Source organism: Homo sapiens, chromosome 1 (genome assembly GCF_000001405.40).
Source record: "Homo sapiens chromosome 1, GRCh38.p14 Primary Assembly".
Classification (NCBI taxonomy): Eukaryota; Metazoa; Chordata; class Mammalia; order Primates; family Hominidae; genus Homo; species Homo sapiens.
This window is the reverse complement of record NC_000001.11, coordinates 7,007,046-7,031,395: the sequence shown is the minus strand read 5'-3', so window position 1 is coordinate 7,031,395 and position 24,350 is coordinate 7,007,046. Positions and strand designations below refer to the sequence as shown.

The following is a 24,350-nucleotide window of genomic DNA, read 5'->3' as shown; positions in this document are numbered from 1 at the left end:
GCTATGTTAATATCACAAAAAGCAGATTTCAGAACAAAAAATACTACTACAGATAAAAAGAGTCATTTCATAATAGAGAAGTTAATTATAGAGAAGTTAATTAGTCATGAGGACATAACAGTCACAAATGTTTATGAAACAACAGAGCTTCAACATATATGAAGCAAAAACTGATAGAAATACAAGAAGAAATAGACAAATCTACAACTGTAATTAGAGATTTCCGTATCCCTCCCTTAATAATCAATAAAACAAGTAAACATAAAACATTAAGGAATCCCAGCACTTTGGGAGGCCAAGGCAGGTGGATCACGAGGTCAGGAGATCAAGACCATCCTGGCTAACAACGGTGAAACCCTGTCTCTACTAAAAAAAAAAAAAAAAAAAAAAAAAATTAGCTGGGCATGGTGGCGAGCGCCTGTAGTCCCAGCTACTCGGGAGGCTGAGGCAGGAGAATGGCGTGAACCCGGGAGGCGGAGCTTGCAGTGTGCCGAGATTGCACCACTGCACTCCAGCCTGGGCAACAGAGCAAGGATCCATCTCAAAAAAAAAAAAACATTAAGGATGTAGAAGACTTGAACAACACCATCAACCAACTTGACCTAGTTGACATTTGTAGAACATTCTAACAGCAATATACACATTCTTTTCACATGCACACAGAATGTTTACCAACATATATTCTGAGCCATAATATGTCTCAATAAATTTAAAAGAATTAAATGAATTCACAAAAAAAGGAATTCATTTATCAGTATATTCTCTGACTACAATGGAATTAAATTAGAAATTATTAATAATAACAGACAGGTATTGGGCAGACTATCACTTCAACTGACCATATTTGTTGCCAATGATAAAATGTGAGTTTTTAAGTAAGAATTAGAATTGGGAAAAACTTGTGCTCACCATTGTGAACTTGACAACTTGCAAAATGTAAAGACTTTTCTGAGGACTTTGGTACTGATAATAACAAAGCCATTTTGGGGTGGGGGTTATTGTATAATAAAACGTGTCAACATGTGGAAGATCTGCATAACTCAGGGAACCAATATTTTCAAAACAACTGCTGTGACAAAATGCCAGGATAAAAGATCTTTCCAAGATCCACATTAAAATATATCCCCTTGAAAAAAGGATAGGCCAATGGATTTTAATGTAACTGTATACAAAAAAATATACTATTTTTGTCTTTTTATTTAAGGTGGGCTTCTGCGGACAGCATATATCAGATTCTGCGCTGCAACTAACATCTAAGAAAGTACCGCTTGTAGGGTTTTGATATAGTAACAAAGAGAAATATTCACAATTCTCTGAAATGGCTATTAAAATACTACTTCCTTTTCTAATTATGCATCTGTGTAAAGCTAAATTTCTTCATTTGTTTCAACATACCAAAACAGACTGAAGGCAGAAGCAGATATGAGAATCCAATTGTCTTTCATTAAGCCAAACATTAAAGAAATTTGCAAAAATGTTAAACATTACCCTTCTCACTAAATTTTGTTTTGTTTTTGGAAAGTATAGTTATTTTTCATTAAACAATATGTTATTTATGTTAACATAAAATGAGTTTATTACTGTAATTTTAATAAGTTTGCATATTTTAATAATTTCTCAGTTTTAATTTCTAATGCAGTAAATAGTATAGCTGTAATTCATGAGCAGAAGCTCTTTGGGTTCCTCAATAACTTTTAGGAGTGTAAGAGAGGTCCTGAGACCAAAAAGTTCAAGAAACATTGTTCTAGAGAAGTTGAGTTGCTCATAGTCTATGCAAAAAAGAGAGAGAGAGAGAGAGATTTCTTGATATTTGCAAACTCACTGGAAGATTCCAAGCTAAAGAATAGCCTGTTCAATGCAGCTGACCAGTAGAGCCCTTGATTTTTTTTTTTTTTTTTTTTTTTTTTGAGACAGAGTCTCACTCTGTCACCCAGGCACTGATCTCAGCTCACTGCAAGCTCTGCCTCCTGGGTTCGCACCATTCTCCTGCCTCAGCCTCCCAAGTAGCTGGGACTACAGGCACCCGCCACCACGCCCAGCTAATTTTTTTGTATATTTAGTAGAGACGGGGTTTCACTGTGTTAACCAGGATGGTCTCGATCTCCTGACCTTGTGATCCACCCGCCTCAGCCTCCCAAAGTGCTGGGATTACAGGCGTGAGCCAGCGTGCCCAGCCGAGCCCTTGATTTTATAGTGACAAAAATAATGGTGCTCATAAGAGCAATGAAGGCTCACATGCATTACGCCCATATTCAGGCACCATACTCAAACTATAATCCTTGTTACCCTCTAACAACCCTAAAGAATAAACATGATTTACATATTACGGATAAGGAAACTGAGGCTCATAGGGGTTAAGTTAGTTGTCCTAGAGGGTAAGGGAATCAGGATTTGAATCTAGACCTCATTCCAAATCAATAACACTTTCCACTTTCAAATGTCTCTGAAATTGTGCCATATCACTCTCTGTCTTTTTACTCTGCTATATTTTCCTTCTTAGTACTTATCTGACAACATGTCGCATTTTTGTACAATATACAATTTGCGTATTGTCTCTCTGCTCCATTAGAATATAAACACCATGAGTGCAGAGATTTTTGCCTATCCACCTACCTCTGACAGTCCAAACACTTACTGAGCACGTGCAAAGGACAGGCAAAAAGAAATACTCTAAAGCAGGGCTGTGGGGTCAGAAAATGACTCACAATAATACCAAGGATCCTCTGTTCAACAGGTTGGGCATGTGAATGGACAGTGCTCCAGGGAGGCCAGAGTGGGGCATGGCAGCCAAGAGTTATGATGATCAGAGAAACATCAGGAGAAAGGATAACCATGAAAGCAGGTCTCGGATTCATGGACGGCAGCAAGAAGGAGAACATGCAGGAAATCAAATCATAGTTTCAGAGGGCAACCAGGGACCTCATGAAGACACCTGTGCTAGAGACAGCCTCAGAAGTTGGAGAAACCAAGAGGCTGAGTATATTCAGCAGTTTCATTGGCTCATGCTGTGATTTCTGGCTTTAGGTCCACTCTGACCACCAGCTCTACCACGCAGAGACTCACTGACACTAATATCTGTGCTCCGCAATTAAGACAATGAAATGCCTGACAGCTCTTTCTTTTTCTCCTTGGCTTAGTTTCTGCCATAAACTTGGGCCCAGAAAAGTGTCAGGGAGAAATATACTAAAGAATATTTCAGGCAGTGGCACACGCCTGTAATCCCAGCACTTTGGGAGGCTGAGGTGGGTGGATCCCCTGAATTCAGGAGTTCGAGACCAGCCTGACCAACATGGTGAAACCCCGTCTCTACTAAAAATACAAAAGTTAGCTAGGCATGGTGGCACATGCCTGTAGTCCCAGCTACTCGGGAGGCTGAGGCAGCAGAATTGCTTGAACCTGGGAGGCAGAGGTTGCAGTGAGCCAAGATTGCACCATTGCACTCCAGCCTGGGCAACAGAGTGAAGCTCCGTCTCAAAAAAAAAAAAAGAAAAGAAAAAGAAAAAGAAATAATATCTCTGGTTGGCAGTAAAAGAACATCTAAGCATTACTACTGAAGGGAACAAATAAAAAGTCTAAGGGTCTTTGTATCCATGCCCAACCTTCATAACTCTGGAAGACAGATGGCTGCATCCCACATTAAAGACTTGCTAGAATCTCCCTCCACGCCCACTGTCAGACTAAATCTATCCCACATTTTTCAGCTTTGCATGAGGGGTCGTGCCAATTTTCCCCCTCTGTGTATCAGCACAGATATCCCCGCCATGCTTCCGTCTTTTGAACTCTCACTCAGATGTCCTTTAGGCCAGGTTCAAACACTACCAGCCAGGGCGTCACCGCATCTGCCACCAAAAACACCAAGCTGATGGAGTACCCTGAAAATGTGGACCCAAGTGAAGATTGAGATTTAAAGAACAGATAAGAAAGAAAATGTGATCTGGCATATATTGATCTCTAGGTCATTGAAATATATAACTAAGGTTCAACTTGTCCCTTCCCCCAGGTCTCGTGGGCCTCCCAGGAGTCGTGTTTTCAGGCTTCGACCTTAATTGCAGATATTTAAATGCAGTGCAAGCATTGCTATTGATCCTCAAAGCAGCCTTTTAATGCTGATATTCATGATGCTATCATGGATCTCAGCAGCTAGTGAGTGATGTGTGTATCCAAATACAAACCGAAGACATTTCTTTTTTTTCTACTTTATCTCCAGAGGCGAGAAAGATAACGTTGTATCACTGACCCTTCTTCAACTGTTTTCCCACCCTCTTCTCAAGCCATCTAAGAAGGATGGAGGAGCCCTGAAGCACAGACTTCAACCATGGTTCACATGAATCCCAGGGAAGGAGTCCAGCCCAGGCCTGACTCTGCCACGTCTCAAGAAAAGCCACCACCATAAAGATAAGACATTTTTGGGAAGGAACATTAAAGTAGCCAGAAAAAGGTCATGCCGGAAAAGGTAAAAACAGCTACTGGCCGGACACAGTGGCTCATGTCTGTAATCCCACCACTTTGGGAGGCCGAGGTGGGTGGATCATGAGGTCAGGGGATCGAGACCATCCTGGCCAACATATGAAATCCCGTCTCTACTAAAAATAGAAAAATTAGCTGGATGTGGTGGCACGTGCTTGTAGTCCCAGCTACTTGGGAGGCTGAGGCACAAGAATCGCTTGAACCTGGGAGGCGGCGGTTGCAGTGAGCTGAGATCGCGCCACTGCACTCCAGCCTGGTGAAAGATTCCGTCTCAAAAAAAAAAAAAAAAAAAAGCAGCCACCCATCCTCCCAGCCCTTAGTTTCTGGGTCTAAAGTTAGAGAAATGTTCCTCACGGTCCTTATCTTCCTGTTATTGGAAAGCCCCCATGAAGGTCTCTAAAACCTTTTGAAACTAATCTTATAGTCTTAGTTTATATCAGAATTCTGGCAAGGGGAGCCACAGGTAGCAGGAAATCCAGACCTGCTCTCCTGAGTCATTTCCCTTCTCCCACCGGGGCTGCCACTCCCACAATACATTCTGAATCACACATGAGGCCGTGCCACGGATGACTCCCCCCCTGGACATATAGGAATATCATGATGAAGTCAGAATTCTCACAGGGCCTGAGCAGCAATCCACTACCCAGGCTCCGCAGGCCTCACTGCTGCCTGCCTCACGCCTCGCTCTTTGTGCTGCCACCAGCTTCATCCCTTGCAGGTCCCTTGCTGGGATAAACATCTCACTTCCACCTTCATGGGCCTGCTCTCCTGCTCTTGGCCAAATCTTTTTGTTTCTTTTTTTTTTTTTTAAGGCAGGGTCTCGCTCTGTTGCCCAGGTTTGAGTGCAGTGGTACAATCACAACTCACTGCAGCCTCCATCTTCCGGGCTCAAGCAATCCTCCTGCCTCAGCCTCCCAAGTACCTGGGACCACAGGCATCCGCCATCACACTCAGCTAACTTTTGTATTTTCTGTAGAGACAGGGTCTTGCCATGTTGTTGCCCAGGCTGGTCTCTAACTCCTAGGCTCAAGCAATCTGCTCACCTCAGCCTCCCGAAGTGTTGAGATTACAGGCATGAGCAATTTTACCCAGACTCTTGGCCAAATATTAATTACTCCTTAGATTTAGCTCAGACATTACTTCTCCCGGAAGCCTTCTCAAACCACAATGCCCCTCTTCCCCCACTCCATCCCCAAAGCTGGTAAGTAGTAGTCACCTGTGTGCTGCTCACATCTCTCCCACCTCGCCAGTCTAGTTCATTGAAATCAGCAGTTTGCCTCCCCCCACACCCTTGAGAGCACCTTAATGGGAGAGGGAATGTCTGAATTATTCAGCTTTCTCTCCCCGGCATCTGGCCCAGTGCCTGGCACAGAGTTGCACTCAAATCCCTGTTGAATGTAGCTACATCCACCCTCCTCTACCTCCCCCACCCCAGTAAGGCCAGAGGGGCTGGCGAGATGGACCCCAGAAATAGGTGGTCTCTTGCAAACCATATATCCTATGGTTCCTTCCAAGGCCCTGCAGCCTTTTCATCTGAGAAACCCCAGCCATTTGCCTGTGCGCCCTGATGATGGGACCACCCTTCCTCTCTGCAGTACAACTTCATGGCCAGGGCCCCCAGGCTGCCAGAGCCAGCTCTCAGGTCCTGCAGCCTCGGCTCCCACAGGGGAAAAATCATTGCATTCAGATCAGCTACCGCGGCAATAGGTCAGGCTTCCAGAAGCCTCCCCCAAACGCTGATTAATGGGCAAGAGCAGCTCTTGCGCATCTCATTACGCACATAGCTGCAATGAAACCATCTTTGCTTTACAGTTTTGTGCAGGACATAAAAGTGGGAAATATCCCAGCCTTCAGAGGGAACAAGCCATGAATACTGAAGCAGCCCCAGGTTATTAATCCAGCACCATTAGTCTTAGGGAGTCACCCCAGCACTGACCCCCTAGAAGGAAATTTCTCTTGCTGTCCATTTCTCATTTCAAATTATCCATACAGCCACCATACATACCACCTGTGAATTATTTGATATTTTGGAGAGGAAAGTAAACAATATAAAAAATCAGCAGAACTTAGGGGATCATAAATTCTTAGCAAGTTATTTTCGGAGTGAGGAAAGCTGATTCATATGGCACTTTACTTCCCAAGACTAATTTAGTTTGCTTTTTTCCTTATTAATAGGAGGTAAGCACCCTGCAAAGATCACATTTTCATTCTTGGCAGCACCTGTCGAGGGGATCCCAGGCCCACAGCCCATGTTTGAAGGTTCATCCCAGAAAGGTGTCGATGGAGCAGACACGGCCCTAGAAACACATCGGGTGAACAATAACTTCAAAAACACTGGAACAGATACACACAGATGCTTTTGTTCTTAAAGGCCAGCATCACACTGCTAGTGCAGACTGATTGCAGACTGAAGAACCAAAAGTATCCTATTTACCCTATTTATTCCTTTAGGAAGACATACTAAAATACAGACAGCAGGCCAGCCCCTATCTTGCATTTTCCCCATTTTATATTTACCCAAACTAATGAGGTCTCACTGTCGCTGTTTTCCTGGTGGTTTTTTTAAGGTATCTCTTTATCTCTGGTGTTCAGTAGTTTCACCCTGATGTGCCCACACATGGATTTTTGCTTTTATTTATTCCACCTGCAATTCCATGTTCATTTTCAGTAGGAAGGCTTACGTCTGTCTTTATTCCTCCAGCCGTATTGCTTTCAAGCATGCCTCCCTCCTGTTGTCTCTGTCTTCTCCTCTGAGATGCCCATTAGATATGTGCTGGACCTTCATGTGCACATTTTCCGCCTTTACTTCCCTAAACCACAGTTCGGTGGATCTCATCAGGACCATCTTATGCTTAACTATTTGTTTCTTTCTTTCTTTCTTTCTTTTTTTTTTTTTTTTTGAGACAGAGTCTCGCTCTGTCCCCCAGGCTGCAGTGCCGTGGCGCAATCTTGGCTCACTGCAAGCTCCACCCCGCCAGATTCAAGCAATTCTCCTGCCTCAGCCTCCTGAGTAGCTGGGATTACAGGCGCCTGCCACCATGCCCGGCTAATTTTTGAATTTTTAGTAGAGACAGGGTTTCACCATGTTGGTCAGGCTGGTCTCAAACTCCTGACCTCAAGTGATCTGCCCACCTCAGCCTCCCAAAGTGCTAGGATTACAGGCGTGAGCCACCACACCTGGCCTTAACTAACTCATTCTTTAGCAAATATGTCTATTCTTTTGTTTATCCCCATCTATTAGAAGGGTTTTGGCATCTTGTTTTGTTTTCATTGCAATTATTACATGTTTTATTTCTAGAATAACTGATTCTTTTTTTAAAAAAAACCACTTGTTTCATCCCATTATCTCCTATTCAAGTCTTATGGATTTTATTTCTTGTCTCTTCAAACATTTTACACATATCTGATCTATCTAACAGCCTTCTCAGATTGCTCTGTTGTCTATAGTTTCTGAAACATAAATTCTCCTTTCACAGCATTTGTGGATTATCTCCCGTGGTGGTCAATTTGCTAGTCTGCTTTGTAATTTTTGCCTAAGGGCTTATCTACATTGGGAGTCCCCCAGTTTTTCCCCTGGGAATCTCATGTGTGCCTTGTGTTGAGGAATCATCCCCCATAACAAGTTTTACGCTTACATCTGACACAGCTTTAAGGGTACCACTAATTCGGGACCAAATTTTATGTTAGGTTCTCAGCTCGGAGTTTCTGCCCACATTGATAGTGCAGGATTTGGTCTCATATCTATATACAGCTTAGGCTTGGTATCCCTCGTTCTTGAAGGAAACTCTTAGAAGCTACGGCTTGGGGGACTGGGGTATACCGTGTTCCTGAGCCAATGGGAAGAATTTTTCTATTTTTTGATGACAGAAAAGACAGTCCCTTCTTGTTCCCAGTTTTGTACAAGAAACTTGGTTCCAGCTCCCTGGGGCCTGTGAAACCTCAGCCCTTAAGGGGTTTACTGTGGAAACTCCAGTAAGGCCACTCGACTTGCACTCTAAATTTCATCCTGGCTTCCGGCACCTGGAAATCTCCCAACCTCACCTTTGAATTCAGCTATGTTTTTGTTGCTATTATAACTAATCCAACATTTCTATGGGTTTAGAGTGAGAGAACAGAGATTCCCACATATGCATAGTTGGCATCTTGACTGGAAGTTCCACTGGAGCTCCTCCTTCCCCCAGACTCAGGGAATCATACTCTTGCCCAATATTCTCCAAGAACACGTTAAGCCCTAGACATAGGTAACCCTCCTTCAAATCCCTGAAGCATATGGCCAACCAATACCCTGCAATCAGATGGAGGTGAGGCGCTGGCAACAGAAGTCAGCCCCAGCAAGTGGGCTACACTACCTCTCTAGGATTTCAGAAGGTGCCAAGGCAATTTTGCCTGGACATTCCAAAACCCTGGAAACCAAGAACTGACCAAATTTGCCTTTTTTTAAAAGAGAGGCTTCTTTATGTCATCCTAGACTAATTAGAAGGCCAATCCAAGAGGAAACCTCACTCCTCATAGCCTCTTGATTGCACAGCTAGCCCCTACCACTGGCCCACCCAATACCCACGGCAGAGTCATCCTGTGGCCTTTCCACTCACCTCAACAGCCAGCCAGCCAAAGTCTGGAGGGAAGGGATCATAAAGAGTCCTTCCCCCAGCATCAAAGGTACCCTGCTGGGAATGCATAAGTGGCTGAGGGAGGAAAGGAAGGGGGTGACTGCCTGTGAGCCAGAGAAGCAGAGACCATCTTTTCTTCAATCTCAAACTAAATCTCAAGGGTAAGTGCTAAACAATTGCCAACACACTCTCTGCCAGCCACTCCCAGGTGCATCTGTCCCATCCCACAACTAGTACTGGAGGGGAGTCACGCTCGGGAGACCTGCTGGGAAGCAGAGCTTTGCCCCTGACCAGCTGCGTGGCCTTGGGCAGGTCACTTTGCTTACCCTCCCTGAGTCTCTGGGACAAATGCAAGGGCTGTTGCATAGGCTTGTCCTACCGAATAAACCACTCACTGAACGGCGGTGGCTGTTGCACTGTTAATAATGATCTTCCAGTGCTCAAACCCCAGAAAGAAATGCCCCCTGCTGGGTCTCTGTCTCCCTCTACTTTACAGGGAAGCAGAATACAGGCTTTTCTAAAAGTTAAATATTCAAAAACATCTTCTCATTGCTTTCCTACTCAAAATGAGTGGGGGATTTTAAATATAGCTTTATTAAGGTACAGCTGACACACAAGGAACTGCACATATTTGAGGTGTGCAACACTAAGTTTTGACACATGCGCATGCCTGGGAAACTGTCACCGCAATCAAGACAGTGACACATCCACCCTCATCCAATGTCCCTCCTGCCCGTGCTCACTGTCCAGTGGTTTTGATTATAATTTAAAAATCGAATAAGAAAGAAGGGAAGAGAAGTGTAAGAGAGACAAAGCAAGAAAGCAGGAGAGCGTGTGTTTGATGCTGCATTTCAGCCTGGAGAGACAGAGGGAAAATCAGAAAAAGACGATGCACATGAAGGGAGCAGACAGACAAAGAGAGAAGCTGAGCGATGAGGGCACATCTGTGCATTCCCCCGGGGCTGGTGGAGGCACCCACTGTTTCCAGTGGCTCCAGACTCCCGGTTCAGGTGCAGGCTCCAGCCCAGCAGAGACCCCGCACCTTCCTACTCCATCGCACCGCCCCATTTTTCACTGCCGAGGCCCTGCCGGAGCACAATTCATCACGGCCACGTTCAGAAGCCACCCATGTAAATGCAGAGTGATTCCACTTGGCAAGGGCTTGATTGCCCTGAAGGGAGTTTCTCAAAACATCTCTGACACCTGCAGTTGTATGGCCAGCTGTGTCAGCCATGGAGCCCCCGGGCAGGTCCCCAGACTCACTCCTCGCCTCCAGCACGAAGAATGGTCAAAAGCAGGGTGCACCGAGGCCGGGGTGGCCCACACCCCTGCAGGATGCACAAGCACTGCCTAAGCCTGGGATGGAGAAGAAGTGCTCTTCTAGCCCAAGGACAGGTGAGGGCTGCCTGGTGGCCCAGTGGGGACAATCAGGGGATCACCTGCCTCTGTACAACACCCTGGTGAGAGTAAGCCCCAGCTCCGGTCCCTCCAGGGTAGAACAACTCCAGCCACTTCCTGTGGCATTGGGGTCAGCCCTGGTCCCTCTCCAGCTCTGTCTCTGATCATGGTCCTTCCCCATGTCATCATCTTGCCCCATATCGCAGCTCAAGGCTAAGCCCACAATTTGCAGCCCCCTCTGCCCCCAGCACTGAATCAGAGGCAGGAGAGCCTCCTACAGGAGCCCTCAGAGGGGCATGAGCCCTCAGCCTACAGTAGGGGGTGGTCAGAAATCATTTGTCAATTTATCTGTTTGTTGCCTATACAGTCCTGCGTCCCATAATGACAAGGACACATTCTGAGAAATGTGTCATTAGGCGATCTTGTCATTGTGTGAACATCATAGTGTACTTACACAAAGTGCATACTTACACAAACCTAGAGGGGATAGCCTCCTACCCTCCCAGGCTAGACTCATCCAGCCTATGGCTCCTGGGCTACAAACCTGTGCAGCATGTTGCTATACTGAATACTGTAGGCAACTGTTACACATGGTAAGTATGTGTGTATCTAAACATATCTAAACATAGAAAAGATATAGTAAAAATATAGCGTTAGCATCTTATGGGACCACTGTGGTATATGCAATCAGTTGTTGACCAAAACATCGTAATATGCCATATAACTGTATATATTTTGGAATCTACTTTTAGCCCTAATTGGCTCCAATTCATACTCCTGAACAGAATTGCCTGTTATAAAAGATGGAAAGTTCTTCTGCAGGTAATATTGACACAAATGTGCCATCACGGCCCTCCTGGAGAAACAGGCAGCCCAGCCATGCCAGCATTGGCTTCAGGCAATCCCCAGTGAGCCCCTGAATGAGAAACCATCAATGCTTGCCACTCTGAGGGTGGAGCCCAACTTATTTCTGGAATCACAAACACCACACATGGGAAAGAGGAGAAAGGAGAGCTGTTGGCTTCCAAGACTTCATCGCAAAACACTGCTTCCATGAGAGCTGGAGTCGGAGCAGGTGCCGGGGAGCTGGGCGGGGCTGTGGCAGGCACAGGCACAGGGACACAGGTGAACTCACTTTCTCCAGGAAACAGTCACATTTCCGGGTCAAAGGCAAAGGTCAAAAGGCTCACAGTGTGTCTGTGTTCTTGTTTTCCATCTCGATGAACATTTTTACCAAGTTTGCTCAGCAGCAGAACAAACAGACCCTGGCTTTCAGTTTCATCATCTGTGTAGCTGATCTCCTGTCCTCTAACGATTCTAAAGCATTTCTGGCAGTGAACCACTTTCCCCCTGGGAAGGAAAGGGTCGCTGGTGCCCCAATCCTGGGTTCTGCTAAAGGGCCCCTCCACGACTTCACTGTTCATTTCAGAGCTTTGTGACCCCTGCCCCACCACCAGGAGCTGCCCTCACCAGTGTGTCTCCTCTCCACATGGAGGATCATGCTGAATTTACACACACAGCCTGAAATCCCATCCCCAACCCAATCTCTCACTCTTTTGGAAGGTCTTGGTAGTCAACGAGCATACTGTTGTTCAAAGGAACCTATTTCTAGGTGTCCCCGACACAACCTTATGGAAACTGTTCAAGTTGACAGTAAAGAAGACCTTTGCAGAGGCTGCCCAGCCCAACCCTTAACATGCTGGTCAGAGAACCCGAGTGTCCGCGAGTTCAGGGGAAGACTAAGAGACTGAGTTAAAGAAGCTGTGAGAAGCAGAAAGTCATGGCTCTGAGGCATTTCGCGGAACCCAGGCACCGCTCCACTCCCGGGCCAGGGCCACCTTGTCATGGTAGCACCAAAGGCATGCGGGCATCCACCCCGCCCACCAAGGCCCTCTTGCCAGGATGGAGGTGCACAGAACCAGGGAAGGAACAGGCACCCTGCAGCCAGGAGGGTGTCCTCGGGTCTCTTCGGGCCCCTCTGCAGACGGGCCTTCTCTAACATGTTTCTGTCCACAGTGCCCTCCCCGCTGCTGATCAGAGATAACAGAAACGGAGCACCAGGTCAGGCTAGCCAGACAGGCTTTTCTAGGCCAGAAGCTTTAATGGCTGGAAAGGGAAAGGATGAGCATTAAAACCAAGAAATGACTCCAGGAATGGTTCCGACCCCAACAACGGGAAATAGACTCCCCGAGCATAAACATGCTCTGTGGTTACCAGGGCTACATGACAGGAAGGAGAGCGGTGCTGATTCCGGTTATCGAGAACACCTTGTTGGCACTTGGAATGGCATCTCTAAAAGCAGCCCTTCTCTCCAAGCTCCTTGTTGCTAGTCTAGTATAATTGGCAGTGTAAACTTGGCAAGGAGAAGCGGGAGAGAGGATTTGGAAGGATGGGGAATGTTTGTAAAATGGCCATAGAGTTCTCCATATGGGGAAAAAGAGTCCTACACAAATCTCCCCACCTGTTCTTTCTGGGGGTAAAGATGATGGCAAAATGGTGTCTCTCCTCAAGGCAAGCCTGCTGGAGACAAAAGACATTCAACCCCTACATCATAAGCACTGCGAGCCACCAGTAGGTCCGTGTCCCTCACTATCTGTGTCTTCATTCACTGCCTCCATGACTTCTTTCTTGTTAAACCCATTTGAGACCATAAAAATGCCTGTTTGATGGAGTCACTTTCTGACCCAGGAGTCGAGAGAGGAGTCCTAAGCCCCCGCTCCATCCATCCCCAGAGTGACCTGAACCTCCACAAAGGAGACTCCTGAGACCATCTGTTAAAAAGCCCTGGCATTAGCCAGGCGTGGTGCCGCACACCTGTGGTCCCAGGTACCCAGGAGGCTGAGGCGGGAGGATGGCTTGAGCCCTTGGAGGTCAAGGCTGCAGCGAGCCAAGATCGCACCACTGTGCTACAGCCTGGGTGACAGTGAAACCATGTCTCAGAAAAAAAAAAACAAAAAACCTTGGAAGGCATGGCCCATGGCCTGGAGGAGCAGGCCCTCAACACTCACAGAAAGTACCAGGTTGTACCCAATTCCACACCAACCAACGCATTTTGGAGAAATAGCCAGTGAGCCCCTTACTCTCCACTTCTGCTGGGGGCAACGTGAACCGTGTATGAGAAAACAGGCAGGGGTCAGGCTTGGGCACCACCCACACCAACCCATGTTTCTGGGGCACTTGGTCATTCAGTCCTGAACAGGTTTGTCTGTAAGACACCAACAAGAATGTGGCGATCCCAGGAAAGGAAGCAGAAGAAAAAGAGGACTGATGCATACAAATGAGACAGGGCCATGATAACACGCACCTCTTCCTTACCTCTCCACTCCTCATTTAAAGACTAGAAAGACATCAGACAGTGTTTCCATTTCCTACAAACACTTAAAGCCTCAAGTTTGAAACCTACACATAGTAGGTACTTAAATACTCGCTGACGGAGCACCTGAACCTCTGTGGTCACAAGCAAGGCATTTATATTTAGCAAAGAACGAAGAAGTTCATTAGCAAATCCTCCTTGTGTTTATGTCTGTATGAGTATGTGAGTTCACAAAATCATATTGTTTCAGAGCTTGAAGAGACTACAGAAACCATCTCTTTCAGATTCATCTTTTAATCAATGGGTACAAAATAAGGTAATGAAAATAAAGACCAGAAAGGGGAAGCAACTTAAGCAAGATCACACAGCAAGGCCCATCAGAGCCAGCATCACAAGGCATGTGTGGCAACTTCCAGTCTGGGGCCTGTTTCATTCTTCTGTAGCACCAGGAGGTCCTGAGAAATGAAACAACTGGGACTCGGGGCCTACCTAGCAACTTCCAGGACCACAGTATTCCTCTTCTGTGTGAGAGCTGTCGAAGACTCCCAGTGGTGGGGTGTAAGAAGTGGGCACCTGTGTACAGGTCCCAGGACATGGCCAGGGAAATACTTACCAGAAAAAGAGACAGAAAGGTGAGTAGGCAGGGAGGGAGTCTGGAGAAGGAAATCCCTGTTATTAGGTTACCTTGATTGCTTTTTCTCCTGTCTCGGCTACTAACAGAATACAGAGAGGCAATGAATCTTTTTTTTCTTTTCCTTTTTTTTTTCTTCTTTTGAGACAGGCTCGCTCTGTCACTCAGGCTGGAGTGCAGTGGTGCAATCTCAGCTCACTGCAACCTCCAACCTCCTGGGTTCAAGTGATTCTCCTGTCTCAGCCTCCCATGTAGCTGGGATTACAGGTGTCTGCCACCACGCAAGGCTAATTTTTTGTATTGTTGGTAGAGATGGGGTTTCCCCATGTTAGCCAGGCTGGTCTTGAATCCCTGACCTCAAGTGATCTACCTGCCTTGGCTTCCCCAAGTGCTGGGATTACAGGCATGAGCCACCACGCCCAGCATGAATCATTTTTAATTCAGGAAATTAAGGGTTATGTTTACTGGAGATTTTTTAGGATATAGGAAATACAAAATTCTGTAAAATTAATTTCCCCTTCCTGTTACCCATTGTGGTCCATTCATTCACCCATTCGACAGCTGAGCACCTACTGTTTGCAGAGCATTTGAAAGGTTATAAAAATGAACCACATGCTGCCCTTGCCTCCCTGCATCTAGTGACATAGGACATGCACACAATGAGGCAAAATTCACCAAGAGAACATGTGGATAAGACAGGACGCGTACCCAGCCACTGAAAGGAACCAACTGTTGACACATACACCAACTCAGACGGCTCTCACGGGTGTCAGGCTGAGGGAAAGAAGCCAGCCTGCATCTGACATTCTCAAAAAGACCAACCCATGGTGGCAGAGCAGAGATGAGTGATTTCGGGGGGTTAGGATGGGGCAGGGTGTGGCTGCATGACATGGTTTGGCTCTGTGTCCCACCCAAATCTCATGTCAAACTGTAATCCCCAATGTTGGAGGAAGAGCCTGGGGGAGGTGACTGAATCATAGGGGAGGATTCCCTCTTGCTGTTCTCATGATAGTGAGTTCTCAGGAGATCCGGCTGTTTGAAGGTGTGCAGCACCTGTCCCTTCACCCTCTTCCTCCTGCTCCAGCCATGCAGGACATGCCTGCTTCCCCTTCGCCTTCTGCCATGATTGTAAGTTTCCTGAGGCCTCCTCAGCCATGCAGGACATGCCTGCTTCCCCTTTGCCTTCCGCCACGATCCTAAGTTTCCTGAGGCCTCCCCAGCCACGCTTCCTGTACAGCCTGCAGAAATGTGAGCCAATTAAACCTTTTTTCTATATAAATTGCCCAGTCTCAGGTAGTTCTTTATAGCAATGCGAAAACAGACGAATACACTGCAGGATGTGGTGGAGCTGCCCTGTCCCTTACTTGTGGCAGTGCTAACATGGGTTAAAAGTCATGGAACGGCACAGCCCCAAAAACGTCAATTTAACTGTAAGATCATTTTTAAAATAAAATTTTTTAAACTGAAAAAAATGTCAACACTATGTGCATTCAGAGGAGAGGCAGGCTGGGCAGGCTAAGTTTAGCTGCAGCCTCACCGGAAGACATCTGACCAGACCCTGAAGACACACAGGACCTGGACAGGGGGAAGAGCAGAACATTCCAGAAAATGTGAACCGTGAGGGTGGACAGTGGGAACATGCCACAGACACTGGAAGCGGTGAGTCTGTCTGGCTCAGTGAGGAATAGAGTCAGGGGAGCAGGGGACAACGTAGGAAATCCGGTCATTAGCGCCTCCCACTCAACTGATCCCACTCGGTCCAACAACACAGTCACCATGGAGGGAGGCCCATGCAGCTCACCAGGACAGCAGGTGAGAAGAACCTCTTTGAGGACTGGAGGTCTTGAAAATTCCAAGACATCCGTCCATCCAGCAAACCAGGGCAGCACAGGGAATGGAAACTTACAAATCCCTAGCATCTGTTCTGAGAAAGAATTCTATCCTGTAATTTTCAAAATTTCTTGACTTGGAATAATAGGATCAGAGGCTCTCAGAGTTGGAGGACAATGTACAGATCATTTAGCTTGTGGTTTTTGAGTCAGGGAATGTGAAAGAAGCTCTTCCTCCAAAAAAAGACACACAGAGCCCCAATTATACAAACAACTCCAGGCATTCATCAGAAACCCACTGATGCCACCACCCGCTCCCCCACCCGGCCCCCGACATGCTGCAGGGTCTGAGAGGGTCCACAGACCCCGAAAGGTAGCTCAGAATGTGTAACCTCTAGACTGGCCCCCTCGGCTGAGTCCCACCTCTTACGAGGAGCCTGGTCATGATACCCGAGAGGAGAGGCTTCCTTTTTGAAACCAAGCCAAGCGTTGGGTTATGAGAAACAATTCCAGACTCCGTGTTAAGGGACCAAGCTCGCACGCTGTTTTGCTGCCTTAAAACAGAAGCTCGGCCATTGCTCCCTATACTTGGGCTGGGCTTTAGTTACAGAAAGGCCTCAGTCCCTGCAGCCATTCGCCTCACCATGCCCTGTCTAATGGGGCAGGCTGGGGCAGGGAGCAAAAAGGAGTTCACCTTTGTAGTGGGCGCTGGGATCCCCAGGAAGAAGGAGCCAGTCTCCAGCTTGTTCACGGTTGACCAACTCTCCAACCCCCTCAGGACTCCTGGGCTGTTTATAGCCTCACACCCCAAACACAAACTGTTGTTTGCAGCTTTTGCAGGGCCTAACCCAAGGCTCGGCTTCAACTCAGGTTTCCCTATGTGCAGACATCGAGCAGGTAAGAGACCGGCCTGCCTCTGGATGGGGTTTGAAGAACAAGAGCCAGACAGGGTACCCCAAACCCAGGCTGTGGCTTCTGCCACGGCTGAGGGCACCCTCTGAGGCACACAGCCCTGCCCAGGCGCTGCCCCAGCCAGCCGGTCCCCTTGGCAGAGCAAGCCCTTCAGAACCGCACTCGACAGGTTCCCTATCTCCCACATGGACTGGTCTATTTTAAGAACTGTATTTTTAGGACAAGCAAATGTGCTGGGCTTCCATGTTCCAAGATCACGGCCTTGCCTCTGGCAGCAGGTCCACTGCCAAGCTCCTTGTCTCTGACTTTGGAGGAGGCTCTCAGCTGGCTGCTTGTCGTTGGGGTTGAAGAAGAGGAGTCACAAGGAAGCCGAGCATTATGGGATAGTTTGAGGCCTTGAGGAGTGGAGGCAAGACAGGAAGGGAAGTTCCGCCAGCTCCCAGAAGTTGAGAATTGCAAAAGTATCCTTGCCCTCCTCACCAAGAACACAATGTAGAACCAGCAGATCACAGAGGGGCTTGTCCACACCAGGGGGGCGGTGAGTCCAGCACTCCAAAGTTCAACTCCTGGCTCCATCCCTGACTCCACCTCTGCCACCTGCAGCCAGGAACAGTGCACAGCTGAGCCACACTCTGCTTACCTAAGCACTGAGGACGGCCAGGCCTGATCTTAGCAGAATGGCTCTGGCTTCCGGGTTGAGAAAAGACTCAAGAAGGACAAAGGGGCCAGGTGTGGTGGCTCACGCCTGTAATCCCAGCACTTTGAGAGACTGAAGTGGGTGGATCACTTGAGACCAGGAGTTCAAGACCAGCCTGGTCAACATGGCGAAACCCCATCTGTACTAAAAATACAAAAATTAGCCGGGCATGGTGGTACACTTCTGTAATCCCTACTCAGGAGGCTAAGGCATGAGAATCTCGAACCTGGGAGGCAGAGGTTGCAGTGAGATAACACCGTGCCACTGCACTCCAGCCTGAGCAACAGGCTGGCGAGACTCTATCTCAAAAAAAAAAAAAAAAAAAAAAAGAAGAAGGGCAAAGGCAGGGCCTGGAGAATGGTAGAAGGGTCTGCAACTTCCCCAGCGAGAAGTGCTGGCACGGAGGAGGTGCGGCACAAGGCAATGAGGGACGAGTGTGTTTTGAAGTCACGGCCACAGGGTTTGTTGAAGGTCTGGACGTGTGGAGACGAGAGAGGGGACTCAGGGATGATCCCAAGGCTTTTGGCCCAAGACACTAGCAGGATGAAGTTGGCATTACTGGGAAGCAGCAGCCAGATCAGATGTGGGGAGAGATTACAGACACTCAGGTTCTATACCCGAGACAAGTGGAGGTTCCCGAGAAGCAGCTGGACGGTGAGTTGGGAGCTCAGACGGGAAGTCCAGCCCGCAGGCACATGGCGGGAAGCTACATTTAGAGATGTGAGTCTGCACACAAGTGGCAGACAGGGAATCCAAGGACAGAGCCCAGGAGCAAGACAGAATTCAGAGTGGGGGGAAACTGAGGAAGAGAAAGGGCAGCCCCAGTGGTGAGAGGAAAGGAAGCCAGTGTGAGGTGGCACGAAGGGAAGGAAGTGCGTCACAGAGAGGGGCAATCAGCCACGTCACAGGCTGCCGACAGGCAAGGGCGAGGACTGAGAAGCGCCCACAGCACTCAGCCCTGTGGACGGCTCTCCAAGAGTCTGCCTGCAAATGAGAAAGAGAGGAGGGGGCCTGGCTTGGAGGAGGGAGAGGTCTAGAGAGGGTCTTTAAGATGGGAGAAATCGTGGCATGTTTGTATGCTGACGGGAAGATCCAGGGAGGAGAGAAAGACCGGTGCCAGAAACCCAGGAGGCAGGACCAAGAGCAGCAGTGGACAGAGCCAGGGCCTCACAGGGACCAGAAAGAAAGTGGCAGATCTGGCAGGAGGAGCTGGAGGAAGTTCTCCTTCAATTATCTCTACCTGGCAAGGTCAACAGCTAAGAGAGAGGGCGGGAGGAGTGTTGGGGGCTTGAGAGAGGGTGAAGGTACTTAAGAGTCACCTTGGAGAATGGGAAGCGTGGACGGGGACCACCAGCACCTGACCGGGCAGTATCATGGGCCCACATGAGGTTAAAAACTTGAACCGTGACATCAGCACACCCGCAGGTGTCTCTCCGGCTGCACAGGTATGGACAAGGGGCAAGGCAAGGGCTGGGTTTCCCCAGCATTGTGGTTTCCCCCAGTGAGCATGATGAACTGAGACAGGGCCAGAAAGTCTGAGGATTGGGAAGGGGCCCCCTGAGCACTGGGGGCTTGTAGTCTCAGGGGCATCAGGGGAAATTGGAGGAGTGGGGCGGAGAGACATGTTGGATGTGGTATTTGAAGAGTGGGATGTTTGTAATCTCGGAATTTGGAGGTATCGGAACTACTGGGAATGGCAAGGTCACAGCCAGCATATATTAATGAGCGGCTCTGCCTGCCAGCCTCTGAGCTGGCACTGCGGACACACCAGTGACAGGTGGGCAGAGTTTCTCGCCTTGTAGAGGTTACACTGTAGTGGGGGACGTGGACCAAAAAGGAAAGGAACAAATAATAAAATAGCTAGAAACTGTGATAAACGTCATGAAGGAAGTAGACAGGGATGAAGCTGGGAACTGGGACGGGGATTTTTGACACGGATGCTCTGGGACCACCTCTAGAAGAGTGATGCCAGAGCTGGGTCTGGAATGAGGAGAGGGCCCCCCCGCCATGTTCATGGCATGGGGGGAAGGTCAAGGTAGGTCCTCCGCATCTTCAGAGTGGATAGGAGGGCGAAGGGTCTCAGAGGGCGCTAGAAAGATGGGAATGGGCATGCCGGCAGGGCTGAGGGTCTAGAAGCTTATTCTAGGGGCACTGAGGAGCATTGGAAGGGTTTTTTAAAGTAGTTACAATCCAGGCAGGGCACAGTAGCTCATGCATGTAATCCCAGCATCATTTGAACCCAAGAGGCAGAGGTTGCAGTGAGCCGAGATCACAGCATTGCCCTCCAGTCTCGGCGAAAAGAGCGAGACTCTGTCTCAAAAAAACAATTAAAAAATAAAGCAGTTACAATCCAAACTGGAACACTGAATCACCCTTCAACCCAATGCGAAGACCAGCCACCAAGTCTGCAGTGGCTTCCTTCTGCAGAGACCATGCCAAGACAGAAGCCAGTAAGCAGAGCTCCCACGCACGACAGTGCTTGCCAAACCAGTAGGCGTCTGTCGGGACCGCTGTGGGGATGTTTGGGGTTGGAACATTCATTTGCCCCAGAGATCAGGGCTGGACAGCGGCAGCCACCCTCACCAGCACCTGCACCTGGGCACAGGTGTTCCCAGGGCTCAGTGCTCAGCTGCTGCTGGTTAGGGCACCTGCTTAGGTCCCAGGTGCCTGATAAGAGCATTTCCCATCGCTTGCTCCACTCCAGAGGGTTCTGCTGAAATGGAAGGAAGGTGATGGGGAAGCTGAGTACAAGAAACTGTTAGTAAGAAATCTTACTACTCAGAAACGGGCACAAAGGAAGGCTGGGGCTGGGGGTGGCAGTGAGGGTGGGTGTGGAGAGCCAACCATACAAGCTATCACGTAAACAGCACCTATTCGGTGCCAGGCCCCATGCTATGAGCCTTCTGTGTGGTGTCTCATGGACTCTCAGTATCTTCTCTATGTTATGGATAATGAAACGTCACCCAGCTGGTCAGTAGTGGGTCCGAGATTTGAACTCAGGTCTTTCCACCTCCAAAGTCTATTTGTCAAACAGCCAAGATAACAAAAAATAAGGAAGGACGCAGACTGTGTTCAGAAAGCGTCTCCTGGCATCCTCAGGACTGACATGACCTGGGAGTGACCAGAGAAGGCTCTGGAGGATGTGACGCCACAGCCCGTGGCCCAAAGTCACTGAGCACAGCTGAGCTCAACCAAGCAAGGGCCAGAGAGAGCCCAGAGGCCTGAGCACTGGACGCCGAGTGAGGGGGCGGCCCAGGAGCCGGCCCTGGGGTCCTGGTCCTCGTTCTGACACTCCCTGACCATGAGCTCAGTCAAGTCCTCTGTCTTCTCTGGACTGAAGCTTCCCCAAGCTCCAGGAAGCCCTCCTCGCAGCAGTGTCCTGCAGGCCATGGTTCCTGGTAAGACCCAAGGACGTCTGTCCTGGGGACAAATCCAAATCCAGAAGAAACAAACCAACCAACCCCTGGCAAGTGCCTGAGCCTGGTAACCAAAAGGGGCTGGTAAATCCTCAGCAGCCAGCTCCTTCCACACTGGCCGGCACCTGGACAGCGCCAACACCTCCAAGGGATGGTGCTCCAATCCCTGCCAAGGCCCAGAGCTCAAATGGGGAGCTCCCTGAGGAAAGCCTTTTGGACCAAGCTAGAGCCCAAGCACGAGGACCGCAGGGAAAGCAGCCCCATGCTGCAGTGACAGAGGGCTCAGCACTGGCTACCTGAACCCAGAGCCCTGGGCACAAAGCAGGACCAAACCCACAGCTCCCCATGTCCAAGCTGCCTTAGAGGCTCTGCACGGACCAACTCATCAGCAGTGCACGTCAAGCTGGGAGGCAAGGTTGGGAGTGCAGCCCGGACCGGGGCTCTGGGGGACAGAAGCAGCAGGGCTCACACTCGCCCCCGAGCTTCCTGGAGCTGCAGGTGTCCGTGATGCCGCAGTGTGATGCTTGCCCCTTTCTGAGGCTGCGGTGGTCCTTCTTCAAGGGCTACGGCAACACAGGGCACCTGGCAGCAAAACAGGCCTGGCAGCCCTGGCAGTGCAGATGCATCAGATGCAAAAGTGAAGAGGGGGCCGGACAGGGACACTGCAGCACAGAGAGGCCCAGGCAGGCAAGGGCTTTCCTTGGCCACTGAGCTGGACCTGGGTCCTGGAACCACACTGCCCCAGGAGGACACAGACCCGGGTTTCCTGCCTTCCCACCCACGATGCCGCCTCTGGGGAATCTCTGTCCCTGCCTCCACCCTCAAGTCCTGGCAGCCATCCTAGTCCTAGCCCCCCAGAAACCTCCCAGCAGCCTCCAGCACTCACAACTCTGCCACATTGGAGCTGACAGCCCCAGGAGTTCCTGGTCCGAGCCTGCCTTGTTCTGAGGAGTAAACGGGGCCCAGAAAGGGAAGGGACATGGCCAAGGCCCCTGCTGTCCCCTCCCCAGCCCTGAGCTCCTGAGAGTGAGGGCTGAGGGTACTGCTCTCCCCAGGTCCTGGCAGCATGGCTGGGCATGGCCGCTGACCCTCCGTGAGGGGCGGGAAGATGCTGGAGGCTCCCAAGGACTCCTGGCCCAGGAGATGCTCCTTCCCCATTGGAAGCCAGCAGGAGGCCTCGAAGTCTGTTTATTTCCCTTAGTTCCTTCTCTAACACTAAAACATTAAACCATAACATTTATCCTTAGGTCACTTAAGGCATAGAAATTAGGTTAAATATTTCATTCACTAAATAGCTCAGATGGTTGTGGATTCCACCATAAGTAAGCAGAAAGTTCATTCATTTTGCACTTATGCAATAATATAAAATAATCATCTCAAATGAATATTTTACAGTTTGCATTTATTAGCAATCCATTCCCTTTCAGAGCTACTCGTAAGGGGTCCCAACGCCTTATGAAATTTAAACAATCAAGATGAAGCCACTAACCTGTGAAAGTTCTATTCATCTAGTGTAGACAGCCAGGTTACAACATGCGCCCCAGGCCCCTGGCACGGTGCTCTGTGGAGGGTGCTCGAGGCTCAGCCACCTTGCCGGCCCCTGAGCCTCCCCTCCTCTGGGGACCTTCCGCTAAGACCAGCACGTCTTCTCATGCCCCACACAGAGCCAAGCTCCTTCCTAGCCTGCCTGGATTCTCCTACCTGGAATCCCCTGTCCACATCAATTAAAGCAACAAACAAGCCACGAAACCTGTCATCCAGCATGCTCTTTGTGCCGGCAATGTGTCTGCCTCTCCCCACTCCACCGTCAAGGCCGTTCGTGCCTTTAGTGACCACTCCAGCTCCTATTTCTCTGCTTTCTCTAATTGCAGCAAGCACTGTTTCTCTGCATTGTGTACCCGTGCTTACCTGATATGCCCTGTATGGTTCTCTAAGAACCTCCTCTGAGTCCACCTGAGGCCCAGACGGAAAACCGAGCTCCACCTCCCTTCCACGACCCACGGTGCCCAGGACAGTGCTGGCCATGAAGTCAGCCCTCCACCACCTCCCTGCACTTGAAACCTGTTTCCCAGAGAAACACGCAGGCTGGGGTGGGACTCCCATCTTCCTTCCAGGTCTCTCCTCCCCTCCCACTGGATGAGGACAGGGCACCAACACGGGCCTCCCTTTCCACGCAGGGCTCTGTCACTCAATTGTATGGAACGCTGTTTCCCGGGTCTCACAAGCTCTAGGGGCTTTGTAGGTGGATACAGTTTACAACCATTGAGTGCCTACTGTGTGCCGGGCCTCTGGAGAGGTGGGGCTGATGGAATGCTCCCTGGCCTCTCTTCTGGAGGAGTGGATGACCCGGCCCAGAAGTCGGTAGAAAAGCACAGGGTCGGAAAGCACTGGAAGAGGCAGAAGCGACGCCCCGGGAGCCCCACAGGGGGTCCTTTCAGAAGGAGCTCACCTCCGCAGCACTGACAGGGCCCGGCCACCCCTCGGCAGTCTGGGTCAAGCACCAGGTCACCTGAGGATGGGAGGAGTTTGGGATTGGAGGAGGCGAGTAAGGGCTGAAGCAGGAGGTAAACTGAGCCCCGGTCAGGAGGACCACGCCAGGTATCCCAAGGGTCTGAACTACTTCCTGTGGGAAGTGGGAATTCGCTTGGGGTTCTCGAGGCGAGGGAAGGACCTGGGTGTGACATTCTGTTGCCCCACAAGGCTGGCTCATAGGGGTCACTTCCTCGGGGTGGCCCACAGGCTCTGGCGTACAGCTGCCTGTGTCCTTAGCAAGGGTTCCCATTTTCGGGTCCCTCACTTCCAAGTCTCCTCTATCTGGCCTCAGCTTTAGTTAAGTGATGATTATATGTGTGCTTCCACGCTCCAAGCTGCTGTGACAATGTGGACCCCTCTCCTGGTCGATGCTCCCCACGTGAGATCCTATGTGATCAGTTCCTTGCCGCAGCCAGCAGCAGAGCACCTCTCTTCTCAGAGGTAGCATGGTGCCCACCAAACAACCACGAGCCATCATCCATCCCCTTGGCCCTGACTACCAGGACACCTGTGGCCAAACTGAAAGCCCATTCCGTAACATTATT

At 49.4% G+C, this 24,350-nt stretch overlaps 1 protein-coding gene and 1 long non-coding RNA gene across 26 annotated transcripts in view, besides 1 other annotated feature; one reads left to right on the top strand and one right to left on the bottom strand.

The window, feature by feature from the left end:
* CAMTA1 (calmodulin binding transcription activator 1) overlaps positions 1 to 24,350 on the bottom strand; it is a 984,253-nt gene that overhangs the window by 738,311 nt on the left and 221,592 nt on the right. The window lies entirely within an intron of this gene.
* Positions 4,257 to 5,456: an enhancer, noted in NCBI's record as "P300/CBP strongly-dependent group 1 enhancer chr1:7086000-7087199 (GRCh37/hg19 assembly coordinates)". NCBI's record gives its function as "activates an origin of replication core promoter dependent on BRD2, BRD4, P300/CBP, MED14 and CDK7 cofactors, with strong dependence on P300/CBP, by STARR-seq in HCT116 cells {active_cell/tissue: HCT116}" and the evidence as "EXISTENCE:reporter gene assay evidence [ECO:0000049][PMID:35650434]".
* On the top strand, positions 17,117 to 23,020 carry CAMTA1-AS3 (CAMTA1 antisense RNA 3). Its single transcript, NR_182292.1, has 2 exons — positions 17,117 to 17,145; positions 22,701 to 23,020. It is a non-coding gene; the product is annotated as a CAMTA1 antisense RNA 3 (long non-coding RNA).